At 41.8% G+C, this 12,412-nt stretch overlaps 1 annotated feature.

Annotated features, from left to right (window-relative positions):
- Positions 10,378–10,447: an enhancer, noted in NCBI's record as "active region_28854". NCBI's record gives its function as "activates an Ori minimal core promoter by ATAC-STARR-seq in GM12878 lymphoblastoid cells {active_cell/tissue: GM12878}" and the evidence as "EXISTENCE:reporter gene assay evidence [ECO:0000049][PMID:35858748]".

Below are 12,412 nucleotides of genomic sequence, written 5' to 3'. Positions count from 1 at the left end.
ACTAAATGCAAAAAGTGATCTTGAACCATTTTTTTTTTTTGGCTCCTGGATCAGAGTGGGAAAAAAATTACTATAAAGGACATTTTGGGGACAATTGGTGAAATTTGAATATAGTTGTATATTAGAGAATAGTATGTATTCATTTTAAATTTCTGGATTGATCATCATTTTCTGGTTGTGTAAAATCTTCTCACTCTTAGAAAGTACACACTTTTGATGGAAAGGCACATGATTATCTGCAACTCTCGAAAAATATATATACATATGTATATGTCTGTATGCATACATATATTATATATATAAGATAAAGCAATTATATGTGACTGAATATGAATTGGCAAATTTGAACAAAGGGTATGCAAAAGGTCTTTGTCCTATTCTTGCAACTGTTCTATAATTTTGAAATTATTTCAAAATAACAAGTTAACAAAAGTGAAATATTTAATATGTTTGAAAAAGCTAGAAGCCTACACTGAAACTATTTTCATTGGAATGGAATCTTTTCATTGTATATTCAACGGAAAAAAATTTGATTCATTGATCAGTGGCTTGTCAACATCAAAATTTGCTGATTATCTTTCTTCGTAACATGAATATGTTCTTTTGTAGCTGTTATTCCCATGAGGTCCAATTTTCCTAGGCAAATTTTATGATCTCAATTTTGTCATGCAGATGTAGGGTCTTCCCATCCATGTTTAGTCAATATTTACTGGACGCAGTGTTAGTCTTTGTGTTTTATTTTCTGTTGCTTATTTCTACCAGGTAAAAGTTATTTTAAGTTTTGCAATTTCCAGTGTTCCCAGTAAGCTGTAATTCTTCAAACAGGTTTTTCCCCCCGTAAAATTAACTTTGTTGTGTATAGTTTAGAGGGATTCTCTAACCCTGGCTAGGCATCTGAATTTCCTGGGAGCTTTTGAAAAGTACAAGTTTTCCAGCTTCTCTTCAATCTCAAGATTCTGATCCAGGCGGAATCTGGATATTTGAAATTTTAAAAGCTCCCTGCCTCTCAGGTTCTGTGGTAGTCACTGGCCCATCACTTGGTGTGGTTACCACCTTGCCTTGTGTTATTGGTTCTTAAACTCTTTGGGCCTTGCTATTCTATTTTAACATTCCATTTTCCCAACTTAACTGTGAGGTCATTGAAGAAAGGGACTAAGCAAATGATTTCTTTCTGGCCAGCACAGCTCTCTACAATTATTAGGTAAGGCAGCAAAACAATATTAGTTGATTGATTGTTGGCGCAACCAAAACTTTGAATAGCAACATCAAGAGAAGGAACTTTAAAGAAAATTGTGAGACCGGGCACGATGGCTCACACCTGTAATCCCAACACTTTGGGAGGTTGAGGTGGGCAGATCACCTGAGGTCAGCAGTTCGAGACCCGCCTGGCCAATGTGGTGAAACCCCGTCTCTACTAAAAATACAAAAAAGTAGCTGGGTGTGGTGGCAGGCGCCTGTCATCCCAGCTACTAGGGAGGCTGAGGCAGGAGAACCCGGGAGGCAGAGGTTGCAGTGAGCCGAGATCGTGCCACTGCACTCCAGCTTGGGCAACAAGAGCGGAACTCTGTCTCGAAATAAAAAAAAAAAATTGTGCAAGAATATATATACATAAAATTTACCATTTTAAACATTGTAAGTGTACAGTTCAGTGATACAAAGTGCATTCACACTGTTGTGTAACCATCACCACTATTCATCTTCATAATTTTTCATCATCCCAAACGGAAATGCTACACCTATTAAACACTAACTTCCCATTCCTCCTACCTGCCCCTCGCAACCACTGTACTACTTTCTATCACTCTATGAATTTGACTATTCTAAGCACTCTCATATAAGGGGAACCACACCATATTTGTCCTTTTGTATCTGGCTCATTTCACTAGCACAGTGAATCTTAAAGATTCATTCATGTTGTAGTGTGTATCAGAATTTCATTCCCTTTTTTTTTTTGAGACGGAGTCTCGCTCTGTCACCCAGGCTGGAGTGCAGTGGCATGATCTCGGCTCACTGCAAGCTCCGCCTCCCGGGTTCACGCCATTCTTCTGCCTCAGCCTCCCGCGTAGCTGGGACTACAGGCGCCTGCCACCATGCCCACCTAATTTTTTGTATTTTTAGTAGAGACAGGGTTTCACCGTTTTAGCCAGGATGGTCTCGATCTCCTGACTTCGTGATCCACCTGCCTCGGCCTCCCAAAGTGCTGGGATTACAGGCGTGAGCCACTGCGCCTGGCAGACTTTCATTCCTTTTTAAGGCTGAATAATATTTCATTGTATGGCTATACCCCATGTCATTTATCCATTCATCCATTGATGGATACTTGGGTTGCTTCTACCTTTTACCTATTGTGAATAATGTTGCTATGAATATTCATGTATAAGTATCTGTTCAGTTCTCTGCTTTCAATTCTTTTGGGTAGATACTCAGAAGTTGAGTTGTGGGATCTTACAGTCATTCTATTTCTAATTTTTTGAGGAATCACCATAACATTTTCTACAGTGGCTAAAGAAAGCCTGTTTTTAAAAGCTGCTTTAAAAGAGGTAGAATGATGATTGATCCTTTCTGAATTTCATGCTAACTCTGTTGAGAAACAAAATCCATACATCTATCTTTAGCAACCTTAAAGAGCCATAAGAAGTTACCCTACCCTCTTTGTTTTGTGGGAAATTGACTGCATTAAAGGCACCGATTCTGCACACCTCCTGGAATCTAGCCCTTTTTGTCATGTGACTTTGCAGTTCTCACTAAAAACATAGACTCTATTTCCCGTTCCTTGAATCCCAGTTTGGCCATGTGACTTTGGACAGTGGGATGTTAGCCAATTTCACATAAGAAGAGACTTTAAAAGTGCTTGTGCAGGTCAAGCACAGTGGCTCACACTTGTAATCTCAACACTTTGAGAGACCAAGGCAAGAGAATTGCTTGAGGCCAGGAGTTCAAGACCAGCCTGGGCAACAGGGTGAGACCCTGTCTCTACAAAAAAATTAAAAATTAGCCAGGCATAGGGGTGCACACCTGTGGTCCCGGCTACTCAGGAGGCTGAGGTGGAAAGATGACTTTAGCCCGAGAGCTTGAGGCTGCAGTGAGCTGTGATCACACCACTGCACTCCAGCCTGGGCGACAGCATGAGACTCCATCTCCAAAAAAATAACCAAATAAAAATAAAAGTGCTTGTGCAACTGAATTTGCACTTGCTCGTGCACTTATGCCTTCACCGTGAGAATACAGTTGGCCTCGTATCCATGGGTTCCACATTTGTAGATTCAACCAACCATGGATTGAAAATATAGTTAGGCCTATGATGTTTGCATCTGTATGGGGCACGTACAGATTTTTTTCTTGTCATTATTCCCTAAACAATATAGAATAACAGCTACTTACATAGCATTACATTGTGTTAGGTATTGTAAGTAATCTGGAAACGATTTAAAATTTACAGGAGGATGTGCATAGGTTATAGGCAAATATGACAACATTTTATATAAGGGCCTTGAGCATCTGTAGATTTTGTTTTCTGTGGAGGTCCTGGAACCAATTCTTCATGAATACCCAGGGACAACTGTATACCCAAGCTAGTCTGCTGGAAGAATAGGAGAGAAAAGTGAAACAGAGTTATTCTAGCTGATCACCACATGTGTGACCCCTTCACCAAGAGCCAGCTACCCCCAGAGAGTGAGAGAGCTCAAAGGAGACTAGAGGAACTATCCAGATTAAATCTCCAACCCACAGACTCAAGAGCTAAGTAAATGCTTATTGTTTTTTGTAACTGAGTTTTGGAGGTGGTTTGTTACACAGCGTTATTGTGGCAATAGATAACTGATACATCTACCCTCTTCCTCTGCGAATATGCTGCATTTTCTGCACCTGTCAAAGGGTGATGAGACAACTAATTTTACTGACTTCCTAGTGCTGGCATGAGAAGTAAATGCCAGAATTGGCCAGGTCTAGCGTCTGGGCAATTATTATCTAAAGGTGGATTTCTCTCTTCCTCCTTGAAAGTTACCCTCTTTTTTAGTTTATTGGGAAAGAGGGCTATAGAGGGCATCTGTTCTCCATTCCCCCTGTTCTGGTGACAGTGTCTCAATTTTTCTTAGAGAAAAAGCCTTCTCTCATGCTCAGTCTATGTGTTCTGGGTGGACTTGCTCTACCCCTGAGTGCCATCAGCAAATGACCCAGGCCAGGCCATTCATATATGCCATTGACTTGGCAAGATGGTCATATGACAGGCCAAGCCAATGAGATCCAGATTTAAGAGTTTGAATGGAAAGTTTTCCTTTCCTTTGAGATGACTGTGAGGATATAGTTTAAGTTTAGGGGAGCCAAACGGTGCCATGTGGAAAGAGCTTGCCTGAATTCAGCTGACACAGAGGAAAGCAGACCCAGCTATGGGAAGACACAGTCCCAATGACATGGTTAGAACCCCTAGATCCAGCCAGACCTGAAGCTGTAGTTCCTTTGAACTTTTTAGTTATGTGAGTCAATCCATATTCTTTTTGCTTGCTTTGTTTTGTTTTGCTTGTGTTAAAATAATTTAAGGAAAGACTCTGTTGCTTGTAACTGAAAAAGTATTTGTCTTGCATTCCTCCTCAGTCACCTTCCTGACTGCATGTTCCTTCTCATAATGGGCTTCTCCACAGTGCTCTTAGCCCCACTGTTGTGAAGAACCACTGTGCTTATCCCTGCTGGATAACACTTGGGATTCCCAAGCTAAGTCCACCTGATAAAGTGACACTACTCCCACACAGCCTGTGGGAACAGATAGAATATTGGCAGATCTAGGCTAACCAGGCATCCTAGTTTGCCCTGGCCAGTTCTGGTTTATGCCTATTGTCTCAGCGTATTTACTAATAGCACCCCTTTCACTATCCATAGTGTCATTGTTTGAGTAATCATTTATATAGTCAACCTTAGCAGGTCATACTTCCTTTTATTGTGTCATCCTTTTATTGTCCACATAAAGTTGACTGGCAGAGAACAAAGATAGCTGGGACAACATCAGCCATTCCACATGCTCCTACAATGTAACCTCGTCTTTCTTCCTCAAGGGCTGCAATCTAATTCTCCTCCACTTGAATTTGGATGGACCTGCAACTGCTTCAACCCATAGACCACTGTGGAAGTGATAAGGATTAACTTCCTAGACTGTGGAAGTCTAGGAAAAGACAATGTTGCTTCCACTTTTTTCATTAGATTGCTCATACTTGGATCCCTGAGCTGTTCTATAAGAATCCAACTTCCCTGAGGCTGCCATGTTGTGAGGAAGCTAAGCCATGTTGAGAGGCCACGTGTAGCCACTCTGATGGGCATCTGTGGCAGAAGGACTCTAAGATGCCCCCCTCCCCTTATCCTCATCTCCTGGTATTCACCCTTGCATAATCCTCTCCTCTTAGTGAGGGTGAGACCGTAACTTGCTTCTAATCAGTGGAATACTGTTAAGGTGAGGGGATGTCCCTTTTGTGACTATGTTACATGAGATTATCCCTCCCATCTGCCTAGTGGACTCTGTCTTGCCACTTTTGATGAAACAAGTGGCCATACATGGGAGTTCCACATGTCAAGGAACTGAGGACAGCCTCTGCCCAACAGGCAACCAGGAACCTTAACCCTCAGTCCAGCAACCCAAAAGGAACTGAATCCTGCCCACAACTATGTAAGTGAGCTTAGAAGCATATCCTTCTCCTGTTGAGCCTGCAATGAAACACTAGCCCTTGATTGCAACCTCATGAGCAGAGTCCTCCCCATCCAAATTGTGGGATAATAAATGTGTATTGTTCTAAATCATCGTGTGTGATAATTTGCTACTAATTAGAGAACTAATTCACAGTCTTAGTCTTTGAGTCCTCCCTGCTAAGGCACTCAGTGAGTGAAGATATTCCAGATCATTCTAGTCCTCAGCTTTTGACTCACCTCCCAGCCATTAAGTCCCCTGGTCCCAAACATTGTGGAGCAGAGACAAGTCAGCTCCTCCACACCCTGTCCAAATTCCTGGCCAAGAATTCAGAAGCATAATAAAATGGTTATTATTTAAAGCCACTATATTTTGGGGTAGTTTTTAAGACAGCTATAAAGAATGAACCAGAGAGTCTCTTTTTTTGTTGTTTTGTATGAAATGGAGTTTCACTCTTGTTGCCCAGGCTGGAGTGCAATGGCGCAGTCTCCATTCACTGCAACCTCTGCCTCCCAGGTTCAAGTGATTCTCCTGCCTCAGTCTCCCGAATAGCTGGGATTACAGGCACCCGCCACCAGGCCCAGGTAATTTTTTTTTTTTTTTTGTATTTTTAGTACAGACAGGGTTTCACCATGTTGGCCAGGCTGGTCTCGAACTCCTGACCTCAGATGATCTGCTCACCTCGGCCTCCCAAAGTGCCGTCTCAATTTAAAACTGTACGTTAAATATGACCTTTTCATGATCCATGACATAAGTGACCCCCCAGTAGCTAACATCACAGCTGGGTCTTCAGGTCCTTCGTGTTCCTTAAGAGCATCCAGGCAGTTTCCATGGACCTTTTGTCAACTCTTGTGCCAAGGGTGTAGTCTTGCCCCTGGTTGCCCACCAACAGTAAATTTCTTAGCAATTTAGAGCTCCTATTAAAGATTTCATGTTATTGCTTACAAGGATTTAATTAAGTTCTAGACAATGGCTACTCCTCTTTCCATTATCTAGGTACATGGGGATGGTTACATTCTTCCAATTTTACTCAATTCAAATCTCTCTACCTTCTACCTGTTCCCAAAAGGCTCTGGTTAAGGACCTATGTCTACTGGGGAGAAGGAGGGGAGGGATGGAGGGAGAAAAGCGTGGTCAGAGAACTCAGCAGGAGGATGGAGGTTAAGCTCTTGTTCAAATCGCACAATCTCATTTTTCTCTCTGGGACAGCAGAGACTCTTATTCAGGAGAAAGGACCTCTCTGCACACACATGTACACACACACACTCCTTGTGCCTTCCCTCCCATAGCAGGACAATGAGATTTTGACTTGTATCTGTTACTTTTAAAAATAATGGAGTCTGGTGCGGTGGCTGATGCCTATAATCCCAATACTTTGGGAGGCCAAGGCGAGTGGATCACCTGAGGTCAGGAGTTGGAGACCAGTCTGGCCAACATGGTGAAACCCCGTCTCTACCAAAAATACAAAAATTAGCTGGGTATGGTGGCATGTGCCTGTAATCCCAGCTACTTGGGAGGCTGAGGCAGGAGAATCACACGAACCCGGGAAATGGAGGTTGCAGTGAGCTGAGATCACTGCCCTCCAGCCTTAGCAACAGAGCGAGACTCTGTCTCAAAATAATAATAATAATAATGCAATACAGTCATGGCTTTGGAGATTCTTCAAAGAAAGAAATATTTTTAGCTGAGTTTTTTCAAGTAGTTGAGGATTACCTCTCTAAGCATCAAAACTTTTATTTCAGTAATTTGGAATGGATATCTTTCTGAAATGTAGTGTACCCTTCCCTGCCTCTTAAAGAATGGATAACATTATTCCCCCTGCCTTTCCTGAAATCTCACATTGAGCACTGCCCCCAAACATATTAAGATGAATTAACTGAGCCCAGGATATTGATACAATAGCATGAGTTTTCAAAAGGAAAACATTGTCTTTCCCCAGATTTTTGAAAGCTATTGACTATGCATTCAGTTCTTCAGAAGTCAATGTTTGACTACATGAAATGAGAAACAGCCCCTCCATGATGCAAATATATCCTTCCTACCAAAAGACAAATGTAATCCAGACGTCCCCCAGTCTTGATCAGCCTGTGGATAGAAATGAGGTCACACTTTATTTATTTATTTAACAAAGACTTACCTAGGGCTTGCACTGAGCCATTCCAAGTGCATTAAGATCAACTGATGTTTGACCAAGATGCGAAGAACACACAATGGGGAAAGGACAGTCTCTTCAACAAATGGTGTCAGGAAAATGGATATCCACATACGTAAGGACATGAGACCCTTATCTCACACCGTATGCAAAAATCAACTCAGAATAGATTAAACATTTAAAAGTAGACCTGAAACTGTAAGACTACTAGAAGAAAACAAGAAACATTCCATGACATTGGTCTGGATAATAATTTTTTGGGGATATGAAACCAAAAGCATAGGCAACAAAAGCAAAAATAGACAAATGGGATGACATCAAACTAAAAGTTCCTTCACAGCAAAGGAAACAATCATCAGAATGATGATAACCTAAAAAATAGGAGAAAATATTTACAAACCAAACATCCAATGAGGGGTTAATACCCCAGATATGTAAGGAACTCAAATAACTCAATAGCTATAAAATAAATAACCCTATTAAAAAATGAGCAAGGGGGCTGGGCACAGTGGCTCACACCTGTAATCCCAGCACTTCGGGAGGCTGAGGCAGGCAGATCACGAGGTCAGGAGATCGAGACCATCCTGGCCAACACAGTGAAAACCCGTCTGTACTAAAAATACAAAAAATTAGCCAGGTGTCGTGGCACGCGCCTGTAGTCCCAGCTACTTGGCAGGCTGAGACAGAAGAATCACTTGAACCTGGGAGGTGGAGGTTGCAATGAGCTGAGATCACGCCACTGCACTCCAGCCTGGGCGCCAGAGCAAGACTCTGTCTCAAAAGAAAAAAAAAGGAAAAAAAAAAAGAGCAAAGGACCTAGGCATTTCTCAAAAGAAGACCCACAAATGGGCAACAGGTCCATGAAAAAATACTCGACATCACTAATCATCAGGGAAATGCAACTTAAAACCAGAATGAGATATCACCTCACATTTATTAGAATGGCTACTATAAAAACAAAAATGAAAGATAAGTGTTGGTGAGAATGTGGAGAAAAAGAAACCCTGGTACACTGTTGGAGGGAATGTAAATCAGTACAGCCATTATGGAAAACAGTATGGAGATTTATCAAAAAATTAATAATAGAACTATCATATGATCTAGCAATCCCACAACTGGACATAGATCCAAAAGAAATGAAATTAGTATGTCAAAGAGGTATCTGCACTTCCATGTTCACTGCTGCATTATCCATAATAACCAGGATATGGAATCAACCTAACTGTCCATCAACAAATGAATGGATAAAGAAAATGTGGTAAGAAAATCACCAAGAGAGTAGATTTTAAGTATTCTCACCACAAAAAAAGCATGTGAGATAATGCATATGTTAAATAGATCAATTTAGCCACTCCACATCATTTCAAAATATCATGCTGTATACCATAAATATATATACATGTTATTAAAAATAAATTGAAAAAAATTTTTAAATCTAATCCTTCTAACAACCTTATGACGTATCTATCTGTTTTACAAGGGAGGAAATGGAGACACAAAAAGGTAAAGTAACTTGCTGAAGAACATGAAGCTCATAAATGAATCTGGGTTTTGGACCCAGGAGCCCAACTCTGGAGCCTGTACTTCTATTTACGTTACTCTGCTGAATCTCACTGATGTGGATCCCCTACCTACACGGTGGAAGTGTTTGAGTCTCCTTAGTGAGGTTCCCTCCTTCTCTGTTTATCACTGTTTCCAGAGTCCCTGGGAGGTCTTGCGCATGGGCAGTGTTCCCTTGGATTCTGCTCTGGAAGGGCAGGTCTGCCACTGCGTATTCTAAGCCACTATCTGTTATCACAACAATGCTATATAACAAACAACCCCAAAACTCAGTGGCTTCAAATAATGAGCAAGAATTTGGTTCACGAGTCCACAGATCTGTTGAAAGGTTCTTTCTGTCTTAGCAGGGCTTGCTTACATATCTGGGCTTAGCTGGTTCTTAGCTAATCTAGTTTGACCGGGACAAGTAGGGCCACTTGATTCTGGTCCACATGTCTCTCAACCTCCAGCAGGCTAGCACAGGCACCTGCACTTGGTAATGGCAGAAGAACAAAAGCAGACAAGCTCAATTGTGCAGACACTTTTCAATCTCTGTTTAAATCACATTTGCTAGCATCCCATTGGTAAAGACAAGTCCCATAGCTGACCCTGAGTCAGATTGGTAGAATACCCACAATGACATGGTATCAGGCATGAATACAGGAAGAGATACAGAACTGGGACCATGAATACATTCAATCTACCACACTCATCACCGATTTTCATTCTTCTCAAAAATATCAGAATAAAATTAAATTTCAAAATAAGAAATCATTTAGATAAAGCTGCCAAGATTCTGTAAATTAAAACTGTGCTCTGAGAGATGGTAATGAACATACCCAAATAAGGGGCAATATAAACCAATGGTTTCTTTATAAAAGGAACACAGCGGCATTCTACTGTATCAGTAGGAAATGAAACTGAGAATTCAGAACTCAGCCTGCTGATGTGTCAGGGAGGCCCCGCATTCTGGTGGCAAAGTGGCAGTCAGCAGGGTAGCCATTGTGTGGGCCTGGTGTCTAAGCAATAACGTTAGCACAGAAGTTACATCAGAGCAGGCCGCCAGCAAAACTGACTCAGTTAGCAACTTCTTAGCATATCAATGTCTCATTTTGTTTCTCTGGCAAAAAGCTCAAATATTGGATTGCCTGATTCAAAACTGACCCCTAGGCAACCTCAGTTTTTCCAGGAGAGTACAGTGAATATCTGTTTATTCCCATTCCTGGAAAGCAGTAACTGTCATTTTCTGGGCTCACACAGCCTGCACATATAGCCTGGTTATAATTCTTTCTCTGAGAAATGGGGGAGCCCTGTTAAGACAGCCAAGCTGGTCTCCAGACTTAGAGATCCATGAGCCATTGCTTCTACCGCATGAATCAGTGGAAATATCAACCTCCCTGAGATGGTAAATGTCAAGACCTGTGGATAAATGTTGAAAAATCAGAAAAGCCTCAGTAGACAGTAAAATTTACCAAAACCAAAAACAAAACACCAAATGAAAAAAAAGGAGCCAAAGATTCTGGAGTACTCTGCTTTTCGTTACAGGGACACCAAGATGTTTATAATGGCAGCTCATTGCCTTAAAATACGACTTCGATGGAGGAACAGGTGATTCAGGGATCCCTGGGCCCCTTCCCAGAGTGTGTTAGAGTTGGGAGGAATCTTTTGAATCCTTTGAATCTGTTTTGAGCATTTGCCATATACCAGGTGCTTCATAAACAATATCTCACTTAACTCCTAAAGAATCCCCTATAAGGTAGAGCTGTATATATCTCCATTTTACACATAAGGAAACTGAGGCACGAAGCTTCAGTGAAGGAAGTTATCCAAGTCATACAGCACATCAATCTAACTCCAGAACTGGAAACTGAGGCACGAAGTTTCTGTGAAGGAAGTTGCCCAAGTCATTCAGGGCATCAGTCTAACTCCAGAACTGGCCCTCTGAGACATGACTCTGTGAAGCTACCCGTTCAGGGGTGCCCTTCAGACACCACCAAGCCCAGTGGCCTTCAAGATTAGGGGGCTTATCCACAGGGTTTACAATTTCCAAGGTAGAGTCACCACACACAGTTTTAAGATACTCCATTTCTAGATTCTCAGCTTCCATGTGTACAATTTCCTAAAACTTACCTGCCTTAGGCCAGGCGTGGTGGCTCATGCCTATAATCCCACACTTCGGGATGGCGAGGCAGGTGGAGCACCTGAACTTAGGAGTTAGAGACCAGCCTGGCCAACATTGTGAAACCCTGTCTCTACTAAAAATACAAAAATTAGCTGGCTGTGATCTCACACCAGTTAGAATGGCAATTATTAAAAAGTCGGGAAACAACAGATGCTAGAGAGGCTGTGGAGAAATAAGAATGCTTTTACACTGTTGGTGGGAGTGTAAATTAATTCAACCATTGTGGAAGACAGTGTGGTGATTCCTCAAGGATCTAGAACCAGAAATACCATTTGACCCAGCAATCCCATTACTGGGTATACACCCAAAGGATTATAAATCATTCCACTATAAAGACACATGCACACGTATGTTTATTGCAGCACTATTTACAATAGCAAGGACTTGGAACCAACCCAAATACCCATCAATGATAGACTGGATAAAGAAAATGTGGCACATATACGCCATGGAATACTACGCAGCCATAAAAAACGATGAGTTCATGTCCTTGGCAGGGACATGGATGAAGCTGGAAGCCATCATTCTCAGCAAAGTAACACAAGAAGAGAAAACCAAACACCGCATGTTCTCACTCATAAGTGGGAGTTGAACAATGAGAACACATGGACACAGGGAGGGGACCACCACACAATGGGACCTGTCAGGGGGTGGGGGCATAGGGGAGGGGTAGCATTAGGACAAATACCTAATGCATGTGGGACTTAAAACCTGGATGACGGGTTAATAGGTGCAGCAAACCACCACCGCACAGGTATACTTATGTAACAAACCTCCACGTTCTGCACATTTATCCCAGAACTTAAAGGAAAAAAAAAAAAAAGGAAAAAAAATAGCAGGGTATGGTGCCACATGCCTGTAATCCCAGCTA

This window comes from Homo sapiens, chromosome 9, assembly GCF_000001405.40.
Source record: "Homo sapiens chromosome 9, GRCh38.p14 Primary Assembly".
NCBI lineage: Eukaryota > Metazoa > Chordata > Mammalia > Primates > Hominidae > Homo > Homo sapiens.
This window is presented reverse-complemented; position numbering and strand designations above follow the sequence as displayed.